Source organism: Homo sapiens, chromosome 12, assembly GCF_000001405.40.
Source record: "Homo sapiens chromosome 12, GRCh38.p14 Primary Assembly".
In the NCBI taxonomy this organism is placed as follows: domain Eukaryota; kingdom Metazoa; phylum Chordata; class Mammalia; order Primates; family Hominidae; genus Homo; species Homo sapiens.
The window spans coordinates 72606319-72630409 of NC_000012.12; the positions used below are offsets into that span (position 1 = coordinate 72606319).

General features: G+C 34.1%; 1 protein-coding gene and 1 pseudogene across 4 annotated transcripts in view; both read left to right on the forward strand.

Moving 5' to 3' along the window:
* Positions 1-24091, forward strand: part of TRHDE (thyrotropin releasing hormone degrading enzyme) — a 583493-nt gene that overhangs the window by 519053 nt on the left and 40349 nt on the right. For all 4 annotated transcript variants that reach the window (XM_017019244.2, NM_013381.3, XM_017019243.3 and 1 more), the window contains 3 exons: positions 12573-12720; positions 14790-14887; positions 15326-15433. In XM_017019244.2, coding sequence (XP_016874733.1) covers positions 12573-12720; positions 14790-14887; positions 15326-15433 — 354 coding nt within the window. The remainder of the gene's footprint in view (positions 1-12572; positions 12721-14789; positions 14888-15325; positions 15434-24091) is intronic.
* Positions 4289-5129, forward strand: CHCHD3P2 (coiled-coil-helix-coiled-coil-helix domain containing 3 pseudogene 2; annotated as a pseudogene).

Here is a 24091-nt window from a genome sequence, read left to right on the forward strand (position 1 = left end):
AGGGGAAAATGAATGTGCTGGGATCTGTACATGAGTTTATTAGCTCAATGTAGGGAACAAATCAAGGTCAGAATATAGATGCATGGCACGTGATGCTGAATTCTAGTTCTGGTTCTTCAGTCTTAAGGCTGCCACCTTTGTGTGGCACTTTACAGTTTACGAAATACTCTTCCATTTCTTGTCTTTTAACTCACGATGACGCTGGAAAGGAAATACTGTTTCCCCCATTTTATAAAGGAAGAAACTGAGACTAAAATGGTCACCTTTCTTGAAGTTTGTTATTCAGCAAATATTCTTAAGCATATGCCATAGGAAGGCTTTATGATACATACTGGGGATACAGAGATAAATAAGATTTAGACCCTACTTTGTTTTTTAACTATTTATTGTGAAGAATTTCAAATATGCACACACACTGGAAAAAGAGTGTAATGAAACTGCTGTATCAGTCATTTTGCATCAACAATTGTTTACTCATGGTCAGTCTTATTTCATCCATGTCCCCATCCAACCTTTTATACTATTTTGAAGCAAATTCCACACTTCAAATTAATTTATTTAAATAATTTCACTGTGTATCTCTAATAATAATTATTATTAAACATGACCATCTAAAAATTAACATCCCTTTAATAATATCAACTATCCAGGAAGCGTTCAAATTTCCAATGGTTTCATAAATGCCATATTCTTTTCACAGTTTGCTTAAATTAGGATCTAAATGATTTTACTGCTCAGTGAGTAGTTAATATCTTTTCAAGTCTTTTAAAACTATTTATTTTTCATTTTAATTAAAAAAAATTTCCTTCCCAACAATTTAGTGAGGAAGGTTGTTTGTCCTACTCAACTTTCCACAGTCTGGATTTTGCTAATTGCATCCGCACTGTGCACTTTTATGTGTTCCTCTGTCCCCTCTTTTCCCTGTAAATCGGTAACTGAATCTAGAGGCTTGATCCAGTACAGGTTTAAATTTTTGGCAAGATTACTTCAGAGTTGATTCTGTATGCACACATAGCATAAATAATTGTATCTCTTTTTATGATATTCACAACTGTTGCTGTTCAATGTCTGAATCTTTAATTCACTGGATGTTGCAAAATGCTGTTTCCTTCATTGATTTTTTTTATGTGAAAATGGAATAGTTTTTCAAAGAGAAACTTGCTGTTGTTTACTATTTGGCAACCAGTGATACAGTTTTTTTTAAAAAGTCAGAATAAATCCTTGATGGTTTTCTTTATTTTTCAGTTTCAAAACTAATGAGCCAGTTCTCTAGCATGCTCCATAGTGACCAATTATTTTGTTTGGTTTTGTCTTTAAGTATCATTTTGACCTTATGAATTTAAGTCTATCAGATAGGTTTCAAGTCATAGCAGTTTTTATTCTTAATGACACTCAAAAATGGTCTAACTTTGGCCAGGAGGTTCTTTAAGTTGGTTTTAGAGCACAGATTAAATGTGTTGCTATCGCTTTGCTCTTGGTAGAGTCCCTCTGTCTTTTTTGGCTGCTCTTTTAAAGCCTTTCCAAGCCTTTCCTCTTTTTAAAGCCATCATTCCCTTTAGCATCACTAGAATACACTCTCAAAAGTATTTCTATTTTTCCTTCAAAAATGTTCCACTTTTTGGAGTGTTGTATTGTCTTCCTGCTTAATTATTAAACTTTGCATCAGTCTAAAATTTCAACTTTAGCTCTACATTTAGATAATTATAAAGGCCTCATATATGTATTGATACCTGCATGTATGAACTAGAGCTGTACTTGGTTTTGAGATTTATTTTTGAGATATTTAATTGAGATGGGCTATCTCTGGGTTTCATTTCAGGCCCAAAATTCAGCCCTACAGTTATGTAGAGGAAGCAATTACTCCCATGCGCCATATGCCATTATTTGAGTCCTTCACGCTTTCCTTCTCAGGCAAGGTATAGAACCCCAAACCACTTTCCAGAGCCTTAATTCTTGCCTTTCCTATACAACGTTGAGATGGAAAGTATTTCTTTGTTTGAAGCATTTTTTCTCATGTAAATTAAAGATACTTTATATCATTACCTCCCCTTTTCTTTTTGGGACCACATCCTGGTAATCTATTTGTTTACCTGTGTCAACAATACTTCTGAAAGCAAAGTGTTATTGTAATGCACGCTGTTGATGGTAGGTATAGTACTGCTAACTGAAACAGCCTCTGTAGGCCAGAGTCTGAGCTAAGAGTGTTCTCTGATTTATGTAGATTGGATGAAATGCTAAAGGAATCCAGGGAATGGGATCAGTGGTTAAGAACATGGCTTTGGCTAATGTGGCCAAAAAATGGCCAAAGGCTAAAAGGAGTATTTACAATGAGTTCACTAAGACCTCCATTTTAATGTCAGCCATGAACCAAACTTCTCCCTCCATCCCCATTTATTGTTATGCTTTTCTCATAAGGCCATGGATTACTCTCACTTCATATCCCCTATAATTTTCTCCCATATTTTCTTTTACTAGAACATGGTAAAGAGAATAAACAATTATCCCCAGTTCTTTTTAGAATGGTGGCAAGAATATCATGGGTGTGGTGTAGGAGGACTGGGTTCAAATTCCAGCTCTACCCTTATTTGCAATATGAACCTGGGGGGGTTAGAAAACTTTTTTGAGCCTCAATTTTGATCTGTAGAATGGGGATGGTAATACTGCCAACCTGAGAAGATTGTTTAAAGGATTTAGTCACATAGTGTATGCAAAGCATTAGCACAGGGACTGACATACAAGGAACCCTAAAGCAATGTTGGCTATCACAGTGCCTGTCTGATCTACATAAGGCTCTCTGCTCCTTTGTCTGGCATCGTTTGTTGCTTTACAAAGACTAAAAACATGTACTCAGAGATTTTCCAAGAAACACATGTTTAGCTTAATAATTCTAATTTGGGTATTCTATCCAAAGAAAATCATTCCGAACATGTAAAAGCATTATGTACAAGGATGTTCATAGTCCTATTATTTATGATATAAAACATGTATATAACCACAATATTTAACAATAGTGAACTACACTTATCTTCTCAACAAAATATTATTAGAACCAATCCGAAGGTAATTATGAAGAATTTGAATAACATGCAAAAAATTTTTTGAGTACTGATTTTATTTCCTGCTCTTTTCTTTCTTTATTTTTTTATCTTTTATTTTAGTTTCGGGGGAACATGTGCAAGTTTGTCATATAGGTAAATTGCAAGTCATAGAGATTTGTTTTACAGATTATTTTGTCACGCTGGTAATAAGCATAGTACCCAATAGGTTGTTTTTCAAACTTCAACCTCCTCCCTCCCTCCACAATAAGTTAAATATATAAACTTCTGTGTATAATATAGAAAAGGCAAAACTTTTGACATAAACATTAGACTAGAGAAGACATAGTCAGTTCTTTTTAAGTTGTTTGGTTTGAGTGATGTTTTTACTCTTTTCTAGTTTCCTGTTATTCACATATTTCTCCAAAAATCAGCCATATAGGAAGTTAGAAGCTTCACTGATTTATGGACCTTTAGGTTAATGATTGGATGTCCTGATGGCAGTAGACTCAACCTCTGAAAAATCCTGTTGGAATTTTTTATTCTTTGTACTCCCATGTGGCCCCTTTAGAGCACTAAAAAACTTCACTGCTCAATAAGCAGAATTCCATACTACCTTTAAGAGTTGTATTTTCCATGGAAATCATAAACTCTGTGGATTATTTATTTTTTATTCATTTCAGGCAGTAGTCTGTATTTCAATTCTAGGCTAATTCTGCTAATTAACCCAAAGTGGAATATACACCTTCCTGTACATAAAGTATATATTCTTTTAAAATGAATTCATTATTGAAATTATTTATCCGTGACCTTCCCTATGTTTTCTAATGCTGCTTCTGACATTTAAACAATAAAAAACGTGTGGATAAGCTTTTGTAATAATTTTTTCTGATATCTTCATAAGAAACTTTCTAAAACAAACATCATGCATAGTCTGTCTTTAAAACTTACCTTCTCTGTTTTTATGTCATTCATTTCACTCACTAGGTTTATATTTTTCTCATGTAAGCATAGTCCGTGTAGTGAGAGAAGATCAACTGGGAAATCATATTTCACATCCTTCTCATCTTGAAAGACCACGTGGCACATTTGAGTTTGCTCTCCGTAGCAGCCAGAGTCACCCTTTTAAAGCGTAAATCAGATCGTGTCATTTCCCAGCTCAAAAACTTGCGGTGGCTTTCCATCACATATAGAAAAACAATCTGAGCTCCCACTGTGCAGCAAACAGTTCGGGTGCCTGCGTGTGTGTGTGTGTGCACCTGGGTCTGCGCTAGGTCTCTGCAGGGGCAGAAGCAGGAACCACAGGTGGATTGCCTGCCCCCACAGAGTCACCTTCTAAGCACATGAGAATGAGAACATCACCATGGTGCAGGGCATCCGACTTTCAGAAAATATAATTGATGGGAGAAAGCAACTCCCATCATCTGATTTAATGTCACAGCAGTATTCTGCTGTTTATGGTGCATCAGTTTTTTCATGAAGATTTAAAAAGAAGAGTACCTGAGGAACTGGCATTGGAGCATGCCCAAAAGAAGATTCTGAAAATCAGAAATGATTAAAGCAAGGTAAAGAACTGGACCAACCAAGAGAGGGCCACTGCCAATGAGCTTTGCTTCAGAGAGGCTATCAAATGAGGAGGAAGGCTGTAAGGCAAAACACCTGGCTGAGCACCTGGAAGAGAAAGACTTAGTGGCAAAGCAGCAGGATGCATTTTAAAAGGAGCAGCTGGCTAGACTGGAGGAGAGGAGCTGAATTCCACAAAGTCACCACTGAGCAATATCAGAAAGCTGCCAAAGAGAGGGCAGCAAAGTTCAGTGACATGAGTTTTGTCCTGTCTGTGCTGATCTGCAGGCCAAAATTCTTCAGTGTTATCACCAGAGCACACACCAGACCCTCAGTGGCTTTGCACTAGCCAGCGTGTAAGTGTGCTGTGTTCATTATGCCAAACAGAACATGCTTGAGAAGAGATCATAATATCAACTTCTGGAACAAGCAAATCTCCTTCAACATTAATTCCAGAGGTAGAACTTTTTTTATTTTTTCCTAGCAAGAAAATAACCCATTTAAAGAGAATACCATTAAAGAGAAGCACCAGAGGGTGAATTCTGAACAAATTATATCACATTTTGATCAGTAATGATTTGAAAAGACAGCCCTCTTGACCTTTTTGCACTTTCAACTTCTACTGGCCATAAAAACTTTCTCTTCTAACCAAGCTCCTTCATTTCATGAACCTTCACTCTAACAAAGCTAGGGGTGAGGGTGAGGGTAAGTTATTAATAATTGGAGTGTAAAGAAGAGAGGGAAAAATCTAGATCTTGGGAAAAGAGTGCTGTGTGAAATTGTCTAGGTTGTGGCATATTGGTTTTCTCCTTTGACTGTGTAAGAGTTCTTTCACTTTAACTTCTTATGATGGTCATGCCAGTAAGAGATAAAAAGGAGAGAAAATTTACCTCTTAATAGAATGATGTTTATGATTACAGGTGAAATAAGGCATTTTAAAAATCAGTATAAAGGCAACCTTAAGCTTATACAATATCTTCTCTATCGTGAATACTGACATCTTTTCTTCACTCACTATTAATAACAAATGCATTTTCTGATAGACAAAAGAGAAAAACAATCCGAAGCCCTTATTATTTCAGGCTTTTCATGCTCTGGTTACCACTGACCTCCACAACTTTATACCCTAACCTTTTTCCTCAGCTAACTCCACTGCAGCTACAAAGGCCCTCTGTTATTCCTTCAACATCCCAGTCTGTTCCTATCTCAAAACCTTTGAATTTGCTGTTTCCTCAGTCAGTATTCTCCTCCCACCAAACTTGTTGCTTCCTCAGTCAGAATTCTTCTCCCTCTAGAATCTGTCAACCTGTTCTCTTACTTCATGCAGGTGACACCTTCCCTAACCACCCTGTTTAAACCACTCCCTTCTAATTCTTCTTTCCCTAACCCTGCTTGCTTTCCCTTCATAGCATCTGGGATCACATTATGTATGTATATGTGTATTAAGTCTAATGTGATAAATTCCATGAAAGTCACGTGCAAGCCAGATGTGAATGGAAGGAAGGAAGAAAGCACTTAACCCTAATTCAGAGAGGTATTTTGAGAGGTTGCCTCATGGGGTAGAACCAGCAGGAGCTTGCTTGTCAGTCCTGGCTTTGAATTCTAGCCCTGCTACTCATTAGCCATGTGAGCTTGGCAAGCGGCTTATTTTCTGTAAACTTTAGCTTCTTTCTCTCAAAATAATGGGCATAATAGTACTGATATTGATGCTTAGTATAAGTATTCTAAAGGATAGTAGACTGAAATAAATTTAGACCGTCTTTTCATAACATCATAACTGGTATACATTAAGTCCTCAATACATGATAGCTTGAAATTATTAAGTTGATAGTTTTCTAAAAAGTAGTTGACTTGGGCCATAAAACTAAGGTTTTTTTCTCTTTTTGACCAAATAACTGACATCTATTAATTCTCGCAATTAATGGTCAGACATTGACCCTATTTCTCTACACTATTAAGTACCCAGTGGACTCTATTTTAAGATGATAGTTGATTTCTTATGAAATTATCTTTGGAAATACAGAAGTTAGCATGTGTAGAGAAGAAATGCTGGATGCAATGATGGTGGTAGTGAGACTATATAAATTGCAAAATAAATGTTTCCTGGATGTCTTATTTTTAATTTTTAAATGTTTACTGAAGAAGGAACTCTAGAAATCATGTCGTTTACCCTTGCCAATTTTCTGACTAGGAGAAAGGGATTTCTAAGCCTTCCATCAATCTATTTAAATGACTAGCATAAATAACACTATTGCTTCTAGGAAAGTAATTTGCTAATCAGAGAAAAATAAAGTAGAGCTGTTTGTATAATGCCTCTACATGCTCACTGGCTGTAAAGCTATTTTATTTTGGTATAGACTGGCTAATTTAAAGCTGTTGTCTAGATAGCAGTGGCCTTCTTATCTTCTATATGTGTTATCATTAATAAAATAGATGAGCAAAAATACAAATGTCACTCTAATAAAATTTTCTCATTCTGCTATTTTTTAACCTTCAAAAAATGCTTAATTTAAAAAAATGGTTATGTTTAAGTTTTATAGTATCTTTGGCAAGTGCTCCTGTTTTCAAAAGCTATGACATTATTGCCATAATTTAATTTGGTTTAAGGAATATTTATTGAGTGCCTATTTTGTGCTAGGTTCTGCATTAGTCTGTGGGGATAAAAAGATGGGTGGAGCATATTTCATTTTCTGAAGGAGTTAAGGCCAGTGAGTTAGATAATGCTATGAGAAAATCATGACTAATGTCTTGATAATTATTACGAATAGAGGTGTTTTCAAAGTGTTAGTTGAACCCAGAAAATAGGTGCCTAAGTCAAGTTTGGGATCAGGCTTTCTGGAAGAGAAGGAGCAGAAGGAGGAGGGGCTGTCTGAGATCTTTTCTCTGTGCACCTTTTCACATTACTAATTGTGTTAGGCCATTCTTGTAATGCCATAAAGAAATATGTGAGACTGTGTAATTTATAAGAAAAGAGGTTTAATTGGCTCACAATTTTGCAGGATGTAAAGGAACAATAGTGCTGGTGTCAGTCTGGGGAGGCCTCAGGAAACTTTTACTCATGGTTGAAAGCGAAGTAGGAGCAGACATATCACCCGGCAAAAGTAGGAGCAAGAGAGAGTGAGTCAGGGGGAGGTGTCATACACTTTTAAATGACCAGATCTCATGAGAACTCAGCATCAGGAAGATAGCATCAATCCACAAAGGGGGTTCTGCCCTCATGATCCAAACACCTCCCACCAGGCCCCACCTCCAGCATTGGGAATTGCAATTCAACATGAGAATTGGGCAGGGAAAAAAATTCATACTATATCACTAATTTTATGGGGCTACAAATCAGTAACTTCCTTTTACATCTCTTCAGACAATTAAGCAATGGCTGGATTATATATACATATGTATATATATATATATATATTTTTTTTTTCTCTAGAAACTGATCAAATTAGCTGTTGGTTGACAGAGAGACTTCCCTGTGTTTTTTCCCTTTTATTCTATGGTACATCAAGGACTATTGGGATTTCCAATCTGTACCGTAAAAGATTTTCCCACAAAGAGCATATAAAGTCTTTTAATAATGAAGAATAACAGATAAAACCTAATAAACTTTTTAATTAAGCATTTCAGCAAGTGCTTTAAAAATCTGTGCCCTAAGGGACAGTGACAGTATCTTCAGCATATATTATTAAATATGTAGGAGACTATTTTTTGGCTTTAAATGAATATTCAGTTAATAAAGAGTAGAGTATGATGCTCCAAAGAATCTGAGAATTGTGTTTTATTTTTATTTCTCTAAAAGTTTCAACCCCAGAAATCAATTGCCTTTAAAGAAAACTCACAGTTAAATAGGTTATTTTTCTATACACGCTACCCATCTCAGTAAGATTCAAGAGTTAACATTCACAGGAATTCAGAATGGTTTTTAAAAAGCAATTTGGGATCTTAGGTGGAAACAAAGCCAGTTAAGGTCAGAGCATTTCAACATCAGCTAACATAGTCTGGTTTTAATTTCCTTCTTATAAAATACATTATATCTTGTGCACCTAAAGATATATTTTATTTCAAGCTCTTATAAATTGGAGAAGGAGGAGGGAAGGGAGGGAAGGATATATGTGTGCATGCAGCAAGGGATGGGAGGAGCAGCTGTCTAGCTGCATATGGACAATCTTTTATTTATTTTTGTAACATTCCTCATTTGCCTCTTTCTCATTGTTTTTTCTTTGATTCCCAAATCATCTCTTATGCTCATCCTCACTCCAATAGTAGGGAAGAAAGGTATAACCTACAACCTCTTCCTAAAATATTGATAGGACACAATTATATATTAAACACATACAATATGTTGTTCTTTAAATTTGCTATTTTTAATTTTTGTTAGCAATATTTCCCTGTGGTGATGCAAATTTAGGGAAACTGCATTTCAGCTTCAGAACCCTAAGTGCGCTTCCTACTGGGCTGATTACAGTGAGCTAATGTAGTGTTTCATTCACTGGATTCCACATACTTTCCTATATTGATTGCATTATCAGTAGTAGTAATCACAGATATCATTACCAGCCAATTACACAAACACACATCTGAGCTAGGTAACCGATACACCAACATTGTCTCCTACAATTCTTAATTTTGTAATGAAACTGATCATCCTCTTGTCCAATTAAGTGTACCTACATATTGTGATGTCGTAGGCTTAAATGCAAGTATATTAAATTATGTGGTTGGTAATTACATATGTTGGTATCACAGCAGAAGGAGGGCAATTTGAGTATAATCTGTTTCTTACTCTATTCGAGGTCTGCATTAAAGAAGCTTAACTGCTGTTAAAAAATATTGACCCCAAAACACATTTGGATAAGATACAATGGAAATTATTTCTGCTCACATAACATGAGTGTGTGTGAGAATTGACATGGTCATGCAGTCATCCAGGGACCCAGGCAGGTTTTCGATATATTCAATACAAGACTGCCAAGGTCACCTGGAAGTTTCACTTAAGGAAAACGAACATAAAATAGCTAATGGGAGATGTCTAAGGATAACCCAGGCAGAGAGGCACATTCATATTCTATTGGCTAGATCTCAGTCTCATGACCACACCTAAGTACCAGGAGAACTGGGAAGTATAGTTCATTCAAAGAAGAAGAGAAGAGCATGGATTTTGGTGAGCAGTTAGCGATTTCTGCCAAAAGGACTCAAAACAGAACTTGCTCCATTTCTCTGTTTAATGAATGCTTTTAATTACTTGCCTTGCCATTATTTAGAACTTTTATCAGGTTTGCTTTGCTTTTATTTTTTTCACACAATGCCAGAAGTCTTATAAAACCTAGATCCATGTCCTGCCTCCTAGACTTGTACATATTAAGCGACTAAAGAATGGAGAATATAAAATTACAAAGTATTTTTCAAATTTTTAAATAAATTGTAATAAATTATTACAATTATTTTTCAGTAGATTAAATTGTAGATATATAGGTTAGATTAAAAGCTTTTCTGGACTATAATGGGTGTCTGTCTCTTAGTTCCATCCTTTTATTTTATAGACACAGAATGTGAGGGCTGGAGAGATAAATTATTTGCCTAATTGGACGAGTGTGGTAGTAGTCGATCCAGGCTAGTTTCTTTCCGTAACATTATTTGTCATCGTTTTTATTTGCAGGCAAATTCCCTACAAAGTATGAGTCATTAAATAATGTCTATCCAATTTTAGAGATGAAATAAAACACAATAAATTATAATTGACATAAAGCTATCATGTCCAAATTTATGGGAAACGAGATTCAAGCAACTTTCCAAAGTTATTTGAAGTTTTGTAATAAGTTAGCCACTTACTTACTAAAAGTTTTTTTAAAAATACATTACTTTTCTTATTTAACAAAATAATAATGTCTTCTAAATAAATCTTCAACATTATACAATTTGTGGCATGTATAAAGAGAAGGTGAATATATAATCACCACACTAATTAATATTTAGAATTAAAAGTTCCAGAGAGACAAATTACAAAATCTGAACTACTGAAATCCATATTTCTTTTAAGGACATAATCTAAAACATTATTTTAATAAAAAATTGTATTACTTTTTCAGGGAGCAACAAACCTATGAAATCAAAATTTCACTTATTATTGGGATGTTGTACTAGCTAAAATACAGTGGCTTATTTAATTATTGTTGCCATAGCCTAAATTTCATGCTATTTCTACAAAAATGTATAAAATGGAATTTGCACAGGAAAAGTGGCACAAATCTAGATACACTCTAAATCATAAATTTTCAGATTTTTAAATTATGTGAAATCTGAAGTTTGCTCACTATTTATGTGAAATATGAACCTGTGGTTGATCTTGTACTATGGTTGAATCAAAATCGTTAGAGTGTCACACATTCTTTTGTTTTAATTAAAAGAAAACTGCAGCACCCTCTTCAGAATTGGTTTTTATTATGGACATTATAAGCACAGGTATAAACTAATATTCATCTGTAGGGTAATGTTTGCATATGACATTGAATTAAGACTAAATGGAAAAATTATTTTAACGAAGATGAAAAAGTCTCCGTTTCCTCCCTGTCCACTTTCCACCATGCACAAATACAAAGGTCCATCTAATTTTGTTATGTTACAAAAGAACAGTGTGAAATATAGATAAGCAGGACAACCAGGCTTTGTAGCTTTCGTGGTTCCCTCTTCCCTATGTTAACAGTCTGCATTCAGTTGATTTGTCGTAGTCTGTTTGGGCTGTTATAACAAAATACCTTACACTGGGTAATTTGGGAACAATAGAAATTTTCGTTCATGTTTCTGGAGGCCGGGGAGTCCAAGATCAAGTTCCAGCAGATGAGAGCTTGGTCTGCTTCAAAGATTGTGCCTTCTTGCTGCACATGCAGTGAAAAGCAGAGTCAAGAAGATGCACTGGAACCTCTTTAATAAGGGCACTAATCCCATTTGTGAAAGTAGAGCCCTCATGACCTAATCACTACCAAAGGCCCTACCTCTGAATAGAGTCACAATGGATATTAGGTTCCAACACATAAATTTTAGTGAGATATCAACATTCAAACCATAGCAAATATCAATGCTGAAAAATTCCACCAAAATACATAGTGTCACTATATGCCGCAAAGACATCAAGGCTAAGACCATCTTTTAATGTATTGTGGACTGTCATTTATATTGCTTTGATTTTGCAAGAATATTATATACAGTCTATTGGAAAAAAGAGATATATAGTTCTTTTTGGCTCCTTTTCTTGATATGGCCTCTTAAACTATAGACAATATGTGTTAAGATAATTTTTAAAAGGTACAATTTAGTATTTTCTAAGGAAACTGATATTGGTTCTCAAGGTGACACATTTTATTTTGAAAGGAAAATAATAGAAAAAAAGAGTTATTCTTTTAACATTTTTGTAATTTGGACTTTATTAAAACCTAACTCAGATTTTTATCGGTGTTATGGAAAGCAACTTTAAAAAAAGGTTTGAAAAACATGCTAATATTGTAATCTAACAAACACTCAGAACTACAAATTGACACTTTAATTTGTTGATCTTTTAAAGAACAATGTGTATTAAATATCATTACCCTGAGCTAAATGACAAGTAAAGACAATACATGGAGAAACTGAAATTACATTTCAGTGATCAATTATTTTCAATTGCTTGTTAACCTCTGAAGAGTTTCTGTGAAGGAACATACCTAGGCTCGGTTTTGCTTATGTTCCATAATTCCTTACTTTTAAAAAAATATGCGTTCTGATGTTTTTGTATTCGTAAATTTTTAACTGTCCAACTCTGCATATATTAAGGTGGCACTGGCATCCTAAGTATGACTATATTTTAAAAGTGAGTAATTTTATTCTTATAACACTGAATATGCTTTCTTTATACTATGATGAATTTTGCTTTTCCGTCTTTTATTTGCGTAAGTAAAAATCTTCGTTTGTGCATCATCATGTATCTTTTTTTTTTTTTAACTGTAGGGCTGGCTATTTGCCTCAGAATATTCCTCTGGAGATTATCAGATACCTGTCTGAGGAGAAGGATTTTCTTCCTTGGCATGCTGCCAGCCGAGCTCTTTATCCTCTAGATAAATTACTGGACCGCATGGAAAACTACAACATTTTCAATGTAAAAAGATATAATTTTTCTTTCTAATTTTTAGAAGATACACTATTTTATTCTCTTTCTACTATTATATATGCAACTGATGCCAAGTTATTTTAGTTTGTTCTTCTAGTTTGTGTTATCCCGATTTTTGTCCTGATTGTCTATGCAACACAGATGACAATTATTTGAAGAAGAAATTTAATACAAAATGCTGACCTAAAAGTGTCAATTAAGCTTAAATGCTTCAGAATTTAAGAAGAAATATACATGGCAAATTTTTAAAGTTCAAACTTACTTTCCAAGAGTTAGAGGGCTCTGTGTTCACAAAGGACTTAACCTGGGTAGAAAGATCCCAAAGATCTTAACAGAATATAGGCATTTTCAGTAATGATTCTTAGTCATTATTTTTATCCAAAAGGGCATACTGAATTCAATTCACTGCCTTAATTAACAAGGATAAGATCAACATTGAGGCAAAAGCCCATTCGTAATTGGGTCCAAGGGGATACAGGAAAGCAAACAACAGACAATCCAAAGAGACAAGAAGACATGACAAACATTCCAAAATGTTACCTGACCAGATTTTCTGAACTCAAAACCTAGTAAACCAAAATTACACTGCTCATGCCACCTAATCTGATTTAATAATCATTTTCAATAATATTAGGATTAAGTACTGCTCATGAGCCTTTTGATTCTTAAATTTCTTATCACTGTGCCTTCCATGATGTTTGAACACTATTTGTTTTCCTTTAGTTAGCGTAAGAGCCTGCCCTGTGTTTTATAAAATTATCTTATTTTTTATACTGTACTAATTAACATACACATTTGGGATTACTGAAAAGTGGATTCCTGTGACATGAATCTTTTTATTGGAGCCATCTGATTTCTGATGCCCATCAGAATTCCTTCCTTTTTATTTTTACTTTAAACCTACAGAAAATAAACTGTTTAATGATTTTTTTTAAAAAATGGGAATAATTACGTTCATTGTTAGTTTTGTCTAAGCCCTTAGAACAGACATGCAAACAAATGGGTCATTACAGTTATGATACAATTTTTTACTTGCTAGAGAAAGATTACACATTAATTTCTCCCTAACACAAAGACACTGCAATATTAAACCTTTGTAAAAGTAAAATATATTTTTGAATATATTTGTACATTAGAATAGCGTATCATGTCAGATTCCTTGTTTTCAGTAAACAGTTAAGAATCATTTTTATTGTAATTTCATTGTTTGTATTCCTTGGCAAAATTCAAGAAGCACATTAAAGTGAGGGAGAGCCAACCTGGGCAACATGGTGAAACCCATCTCTACAAAAAAAAAAAAAAAAAAAAAAAGAAATACAAAAATTAACTGGGTGTAGTGGCTTGTGCCTGTATTCCCAGCTGCTCATGAGGCTGAGGTGGGAGGATGGCTTGAATCTGAGAGGCGGAGGATGCAGTGAGCCGTGGTTGTTGCCACTGTACTCCAGCCTGAGCAACAGAGTGGAGACCCTGTCTAAAAAAACAAAAAATAGTGAGGGAGAGCATGCCTTACCTTGATACTGACACTTAAATGTGTCATTAGCTGAATGAATTGTTGACTTTGAAATATCATTATAATTACACTGAAGAGTTCTGTGTATCTCAGCTTCATCAATACTAGGCCATTGGTTGGGCCAACATAGTAGTTTTGCATTAAATATGCCTTGTTGATATAAAATGCGTAAATATTAGATGTCCATTTTCATATAGTATATCTATATACATTTGTACATATGTACGCATAGGTGTTATCAATATTCTTTGTTTTCCTCATTTTGTTACAAAAGTCATCATCTAAAATATTTACTCATGCAAATTACTTAGTGATTTAATAGGAAGAGTAGACTTGTACCATTCCAATAGCATTTTATCCCTCTTTTCTATATATGAAATACTAAATTAAATAAAATTATAATAGAACATTACTGTACTTATAATTTTATGGATATTTGAAAGTAGGTACATTTTAAGAATATTTTAATTTTATTACAGAATTTTAATTGTCAGCATACAGAAGTTTTAAACTGACCTTATCTTTATTTATTCTATACCCCATTTAGGAATATATTTTAAAGCAAGTTGCAACAACATATATCAAGCTTGGGTGGCCGAAAAATAATTTTAATGGATCTCTTGTTCAAGCATCCTACCAACATGAGTACTGTTTTATTTTCTTATCCTCTTCTTTACCCCTAGAGCTGTATAATAATGTACTACTAGTGCCATTGTGACTTTAGCTGCATGAGACAATCTTCCTTTCATTCTTCATCTTACATTTCACTTTCCCGAGAGGACTGCTGCTGGGTAGCACAGTTTCCATTGCCTGATCCTGAGAACAAAGACGTTTCCTTGCTGTGTTTTAATTTAAGATCTACCTTTATTGGTGATATTGAGATCAGAACCCATGCCTCTCACTGGAGTACTGTTAAACTTTTAGTATGTTTAACTTCCACTCTGCCTAAGTGACTTTTACTCAGCAGCATAGGATTTCCAGATCTAAAAACCATTTTTATGTTAATAATTTACTTATCTACTATTTAGGGAATGAATTTCCCTAACTTTCTTTTTAATTTGTTTCCCTTTTGATGATATCTAGAGAACTACGTAGAGAAGTTATAATGCTGGCCTGCAGTTTTGGCAACAAGCACTGTCACCAACAGGCATCAACACTTATTTCAGATTGGATTTCCAGCAACAGGAACAGGTAAACTGAGCCAAATCCTGTATTTCTGATATTATTTAATAGTGCTTTCAGAGTCTCAGTGGATGCATTTCATTTACCAACTGGAGAAAAACAAGATAAGGAAAAACAAAAGCATGCAGCAACATTTTGTGTCAGGTTCACAGCTTCCAAGGCAATAGTGTGAAAGTCACAATACAGGTATCTTTGAAATGTTTCATTGACTTTATGCTAACTTTATTAATTTAGGTCTTTATTTTTAAATATATTTAAGTTGTCACCTTATTTCAAGTTTTGAAAGCTCTGCTATCTCATAAGAACAAAATAATGAAATTCAATCCAGACTCTTTCAGGTTCTTTATAAAGGTTGTGGTATTTATTCGTAGAACAATTACCAGCATATGTCATAAACAAAGTAGCATAACAAATGTTAATATTAAAAACTAAAAATAAAAGGTTATGAAAAAAAGATCTTTCCTTTTTCAGTGACCCTTGACAATGACCTTAAACTTGTATCTTATCTTAGAATTTTGCAATATAGTATTTTAATATATGAGGTTAAAATTGTTTAATTAAATTACTTTTAAGGAAAAAAATACTGTGCTAAATGTCACTTGTTAATGAAAGGAATACTAAACATAAAAATAATCGAAGATTATTGGTATTATGCCTACAGTATTTTAAGCCTTCTTAAGGTACCTTTATATTTTCAAGGGTATTAATGTACCATTTCTTTTTACACTTTGGACAACTGATATCCCTTCCTCTCCAGTTTTTGGCCCCCATAACTAGAGTCTTTCCTCCTAGGAAGGAAGAGAAGCTAGGGCTTGATTTGTACAGATGATGCCATTTTATGTGCAACAGCGGGGTTGTTCCTGATATGCATGTGAGGGATGATCCCATGAGCAACAAAGAAAGACACTTGTACTGGTTAAACTTAGAGAACCGCAGTCAGTATAACCTACTTAGGAATGAATTGGTATTTGTCTTGTTAAGAGCTGTTTAGGTTTAGATTTAATATCTAACTGACTAGATCAAAGAGTAACTATTCTGTTCGAAAGGTCTCTGTAGGAATCTTTCACTACATTATTTAGTAACTCATAATACCTCACCTTCCTGTAGCATTTCCTGCTTGCCCTCTAAATTAATTGTTTCTGGTCTTATACAAGCTAAAAAGGAAAATATTTTATCAGTATCATCTACCAATTGATCTATCATATATTTGAAGACAGTGATCCAATATTTCATCTGTCTTCTCTAGAACCAAACTGTACCCATTTTTAAAATTTTCAAGATTTTTTGCTAAGTCTTCTGGGAACTATTTCATTAGACCTGAAAATGTTATACAAACTTTTTTGCTATTTTTACCACCTCCTTCAATTCTACCACGTTTAATCAGACCATGGAAGTAAACATTTATCCAACATAAATACAGCCAAAATTTTATTAAAATCCATATCATATATACATATAAAAAAGATGAAACATATTATGGAGAAAGTATAGTGTCTTCTCTCTTCCCTTTTGTTTTTGTGTGTTTTGTTTGTTTTTGTTTTATCTTGCTATCAACATGTGCCCTTTTTCAGAGCTGATTATTGTTTTAACACTTTAATGGGTCTACTCACATAAACATGTTTTTCTACCATGTTATTAAAATTGGACTCACACCATTGCATCACCATAATTTCTCTAGAAAGCATTCAAGCCTAATATCACTGTCTAAATTTTAGAAATATAGCTGTTGGGGAAAATGCTATTTTAAAAATAGTTCATTTATTTAAGAATACTTTTTGAATAATTCTCAGTACCATCTGGTAGCTGGAAATCAAAGAAGTGGATCTTAACATTCATAGAGGAACTGTTTTTTAAACAGTTTTATTTTCAAGTAAGAACTAAGTACAAGATAGAGTGTGAACACAAAGAAAGGAAACATTACTATCTTGGAGGGATCTCATTCTGATTCATGAAGGATAAGTAAGATTTAAGTGGATAGGGGCAGGACTGAAGGCAGTGGTAGGTATCTATCTATGAATATGTAAGGTGGGTAGATGGGAATTGCAGACAGAAGAAAGCCACATGCATTGCTGTTTAATTTAATAATTGCGGTCACGTTTGACTTGTAAACTTGAACAATTCATCAGCTCATTTTGGTTTTGGTAACTCTGCCACTTATCTGTGGTAAAATAATGAAATTTGGGCCAAACAAGATTCTTTTGTCATTTCCTTCATTAATTCTATTTTATATTCTCTGCTTTGCTTTCTTTTGTAACTGGGAAAGTAAACATGTTAAGTGAAATTAACTCTGTTTACTAAGATTTGCTTAACCCACTACATGACGTGCCCAGCAAACACAAGTCACCTCCTGCAGCGAGGACACATAATATCCACTATGCTGCTAGGTGTGTGTGAAGATCAGAGGTGTAATCTGTATTTTTTGGATGACAGCTTGATAATTAAACAATAATGCAATCCTGTAGTTGGTGCTGAGTTTAATCTCAAATTGAGTCAAGAAGGAAAGAACTTTTTTTTTTTAAATGGCCCTATAGCAATAGACCAGTAATCCTTGTTTGTTTGCTTTTTATTTGTTTAACTGAAGCCTTAAATAGAGTGATTTACAAAAGTCATCTAAGAAAAGAATACTAGAGGTAATGTAGTAGTATATTTATGAAATGTCTTGGGAAATAAATATTTATTCTAATATGTCTACAAAACAGTGAGTCATAGAAGTAGCAGGGATTGCAAATTTGGGGGTGTTGTACTATTATGCAGCATAATCTTGATACATTGGGGATATGGGTAAAATCAGTGACATCAGAATCACAAAACTGGAATGAATGTGAAAGGTGCTGCAAGGAGGGATAATGGGACCAAAAAGTACAATGAATAGCTAGAGATGGTAGCAGCAGAAAGAAAAATTCACGAGTTACAGTGGATGATAAATTGATTGAGTTGACATTCTAATACCTGTTAAAATATTCAAATGCTACAGTGTGTTGAATTGCAATGGTGATGTCATGCATAAAAATGGATTGAGCTACATTCAGGTCTTGTTAGGCTGCAATTTGGAGACTAAGCTCAACAAAAAAGCACATTTCAAAAAGGAGACAAATTGCCAAGCATTTGGTGGAGATACAATGCAAATGATAAAAAGATCTTGAAAACATGAGCTGTGAGAGGAGCTTGTGAAACTTGAAAATCTCAAAAAATAAAAAAAAAAGACACAGAAAAGATGATGGCCTTTTTCTATGCATAAAAGCATTATAAAGAGAATAGAAATTGGTTTCTTTCACTGGTTGGTGCAAATAAGCAAGAAATAATAGGCCTAAGTCTCACTGAGTAGAAAAAAAATAGTACATAGTATTACTGCAGATGAACTGTTATTTAAAATCTCTTTGTTAAAACACAATGTTGTACAGTTAACTGTACAGAGATCAAATATGGTATTATAGGGTTTTCTCTAAGTAATAAATTTGACCAGAAGTTAAATATGTATCATAATAATGTATTTAAATACTGTTAAAGGGCACAATTTAAAGCTGTAAGCCAATACAAAGTAAAGTTTTAAAGCATTTAATCAAAAGCATTACTAAATAGATAATAATGTCCATTCCCTAACATAAATTGAAGACTGGTATCTTCACTATACTTAAAAAAATACCCTGAAACAACACAGCACCTTGTTATATAGTAAATGTTTATTGAATTGAAATGAATTGAGTATTCATTTTGAAACCGAAAAAAAAAGTCAATTCTATAATAAAAATTCTAAGTAGAGGCACATCTCTACTTTGCAACATACATAATACATGAGCTTCACTACTTATTCAATTAATTATAGCATTACTAGTATTGTCTTTAATGATGATCATAAAGCTATATTTTCTTTACTATATTGAGCATTTACTACATTATGGGTGCTGGCTAAGTGCTTTTTGTGTATTATCTCACTATTTTTATTTTTTATTTTACCAAAACCAAATTCTAAATTTACAAAGGTTATGCAACTTGCCAAGATTATATGATAATAGGTGGTAGAGCTGGACTTCTTTACCCAGCTTGCCTGCCCCCTAACACTGTTGTATGTGGTTCTGTGGTATATTACACTACTATATATCAGTAAGATACATTAGTTCAAATATGGTAAAATAAATAAATAAAAATTGTCCTACAGACCTCAAGTACTCACTTCGGTGAGTAAGCAACAGCTTTATGTACATGGGTTGCATGGTGCTATATGGCAGAAGCCAGTGGTTTTTGAACCTGAACATGCACCTGAAACATCAGATGGGATTAAAACAGTTTGTTGGGCTCCACCCTCTGAGTTTCTGATTTAGTAGGTAGAATGAGGCCCAAGGTTTTGTATTTTTAACAAGTTCCCAGGTAATGTTGATGCTGTTGATATAGGTACCACACTTTGGGAATCGCTGGTGTAGGGAAAGGTTACTGTTTTCAGAGTTGAGACACTTGTGATCAAATTGAAGTTGTTTCCCTAAATAACCTTGGAAAAGTCTTTTAGTTTCCTCATCTGCAAAATGGCAATCATATTACTAACCACACAGGTCATGAGAGTTATGTAAAAGAATGCCTATATAATACTTAACCTTTGCAGAAAATTATAAAACACTAGTGTTCTTCAGAGTTACCCTCTACTTGTTTTCACTATCTTTGGGTAGTGGGTCGTGTGAATTTTAAGTGGGGACAGTAGAGATAGTAACACTTATTGAATGCCTTCAATGCTCAATCTACCCTCTATAAGTTTTGAGTCTTACAAGGATGTGACCTGTGACATAAAATGTAAAACAAAATGCTACCTTAGAGATTCTCAATTAGGAGCAGGAGGACATTTGCCCCTTTTCCCCTATTTTGAAGAACAGTGCCTGTCTTGGCCTCCTGGCAAATATAACTGTTTCATCCTTGCTCTTAATCAGTTGCTATTCATGGCAAATGTCCCTTTGTCCACCAGAACTCACTTTATCTCATAGTGTAGAGAGCTCCAGATAACTGTGTTCCTTTATGTCTGATCCTTCTCATCAATGTTTGCTTTTCTTATGTGAGAACATAAAGGTGGAGGGACAAAAGGCTCTTTTCACTATGGTCTGTGTATATCTCGTCCAGAAACCTCATGTTTTCTTTCTCCAAAACATAGATCCGAACTTACTGTTTATGTTTCCAAGTTGGTGTGGTCCTATTTCCTCAGTTCTTTATACCACTATTTTTCTTTTTCTTATTATAAAACTGTTCCACTCTAAATTTTCATAGGCTAAAGTCAGACCTGCCACTCTAGTGCTGTAACCAGCATAGACATTTTGTAGACCAGTGAATACAGCAAGGAGTTTGTATGGAATAGCAAAAAGAACAGGGCTGCCCGCCCTTCCAATGAGCTGGGCTTAGGAATTAGCTTGTCCTTTGTCATTAAACGGTTGTGGCTTTAGACAAGTCAGTTAACTTCTCAAAATCTCAACTGTATTTCTGAAGTAAGGAGATTGCCCCCAAATTTCCAGTGCTTATATCAGCTCTAAAAGTTCAAAATTTCACACTCACTCAATATAAAACTTCAGGGCACTTTTTTTGTTGCATCATATGCTTAGAAAAATAACTTTAAGGATAATCATCTTCCTTCCTTCACCTTTCTGCCATAGGAATTTTATATATCAGTAGTTATAGCTATTCAGTTCATTGTGAATTTTTGCCTGCAGAGTCCTAGCACAGAAACTTAGAGATTGGTCATAAGAGTCTTTAAAGAAGAAAATGGTATGGGCACTTCTGGCATTCACAGTTATCATCAAAATCATCATTACTATTGACACCTCATTTTCAATTTATTCCTTCATAGTTCTTTAAGGTTGAAAAATAAAATATTTAATATGCTCCATCCCTCATTGTGGACAGTTGCAATATTGTAGGACCAGATTCACCAGTCTACATATGGGTAATGGCATGTCTGGTTAATAGTCAACTTGACTTTCTTTTTTTAAAAAAACGAGATCTCGTTCTATTATCCAAGTGCAGTGGCACTGTCATAAGTTACTTCACCCTCAAACTCCTAGGCTCAAGTAACACTCCCACTTCAGCATCCCAATATATCTAGGCCTACAGCCCCACACCACCACACCTGGCTAATTTTTTTTTTTTTTTGAGACAGGGTCTCACTATATTGCCCAGGCTTGCTGGTCCTAAACTCCTGGTCTCAAGCAATCCTCCTGCCTTAGTCTGTCAAAGTGCTGGGATCGACTGGACTTTTAACTTTTCTAAAATAAGATGCTATTGCATATTTCTTCCATAGTTATAAGTTTACTTGTTTTAACCAGTATTAGTTCAAACTCTTACAGTACTTGATTCAGATGTAAAACATACTGAGCCTCTGCCATGTTCCAGCCATCATGCTGAAAGTCACCAGGGATCCAATGATGAACAAAAGAACATGCCTCCTACCTTACAATCTAATGGGGTAGACCAATGCTAATCAGACGTCAGATGTAATACAAATAATGTAGTATTTTAACTGTGATGAGAAGCCAGATGGAAGGTTTATAGGAGAAGGACAATTTGACCTGTCAGTAAAAAGTTCACTTCCCTGCAGAATGGCAACTGAACTGGGGTCTACAGGAGAGATGCACATTCTTTAGACTAAGAAGGAAAGGAGGTGTTAAGTGGAAACAACAGTGTGTAAAAATGAGCTTCCTTCACAACATCTTTTCTCAAGATTAGATTCTTGATACTTTCAAAAAGTTTAGCTGATTGGGCAGAATCCGTACTGAAACAAGAACATCCTCTAAAAATTTTGCAAGCTAATTTTTAATTTAATCAGTTTGTTTTGTTTTTATTTGCTGAGAGGAGCAAAAATCCCAGTAAGTTGATTATGCTCCTTCATCAAAGCTTTAGAGGATCTCTATTCTAACATCAGAATATGTCACCAAACAAGTGTTTTGGAAAAGCTATATAGAAGAAAAATAATATATGAAATGTAGTGAGTGTACTTGCTATCTGAATTTATCCTATTGTGAATTCTTTTGTCAAAATGAAAATCCTTTTCATAGACAGGAATTGCTACCTGGTTTATTATTTGTATAATTACAGGTCTTCATATATTACAATTAACTTAAATAGTGGTTATACCTGAATATAGACAAGAACTTTTTATCCTTCTTTTCAACTAAGCTTTTCTAAAATCACACTGAAAATACCACTATTCCTTGCTATTTAGAGAATTTAATACATGCCAACTCAGTTCAGTCCATCATGAGATAAATGTTTGACTTAATGACCTACTTGAGGGACTAACTAATCTGGTTGTATTTTTAATTTAGTTTTTATATAGCAGGGACTTTAATTGCTTCTACAGCTAATATAACTCCAGTGAGTGCATATTTCTATTCATTTTCTTATAGTCACATTTAGTTTCTAATCTAAATGCATTAACGACTTTATATTCTAATTTAAAATGCAGAAATAATCATACACTTGTATTCCTTTTCCTAACACTTTGGTCTTTTTCATGACATTTTACTTTTTTAAAAAATTATATTACTAGCCATGCATAGAGGCACATAGTCAATAGTTATTTTTTCAAAGTATCTTAATTTTTACATAAGTATGCTTTTTTGAAGGTGATGTGATTTAATTTTTTTCTTTGCAGTATAATTGGATCTCCCCCATTACTGCCAATAGTAATTTTCTTATTGTGCTAGTATTGTTTGCCTAAAATTATACTGCTTTCAGACACTTCTGTGTCTTCTATCAAAAGATATATGCCTATTGATTAGTTGTAGAATAGCTCTATTTTAATAGCCCAACTGTTTATTACAGTACAAGTGCTCAGTGAATATAGATTCACATGGGCAACTAAGAACAACGCTTATTAAACTTATAATAATAAGCATTATTATTTGCTAAACTGGAATTTTGTTGGCTGAGTAGCCAAAAAAATTTGCAGATTCCAAAATATTTGTACTAAGACACAGTGAGTATGTTATACTGACAGATTGCGTATAAAACTCATTGCAATCATTGCCAACCACTACAAAGAAGAGATTTCCTTCACATTTTCCTAATGTAATATAAGCATTCATATTATCAGTAAGGGGAGTCCTTCAACAACACTAATATTTCCTTTTTGTTTACTTTTTCCCCTTGTGATTAAGGCTTAAGACTGATTCTATACATATAATTCACTCTATTTCAAAATAAAAATGAAAATAATTTATGTTAGTCTTCTAATGATACTGTGGTAACAATTTAACATTGTGAAAAATATGGTAAAATATGGAAGCATCAATATTGTTTCATTTTATGTATATATAATGAATATATATATATACATATATATAAAGTATTTGAAAAGTAGGAAAATTAGAACTTTCATCGTTCAGAAATTCTTGGCAGTAACAGCAAAATTAAAGCACACCCACATACATCTGTGGGTTGAATAGTGGCCTCCAAAAGATGCCTTCAAATCCTAATCCCCACATGTAAATGTGATTTTATTTAGAAGTAGGATTGTTGCAGATGTAAAAAGTTACGGATCTCAGTATGAGATCATCCTAGATTTAGCGAAATCTCTAAATCTGGTGATGAGTGTCCCTATAGGGGAAAAGTAGTCAGAGAGAGATACCGGGAGTAAGTCATGTAAAGACAGAGGAGCGCCAAGAATTGCTGGAGCCATTAGAAGCTGGAGAGAGGCAT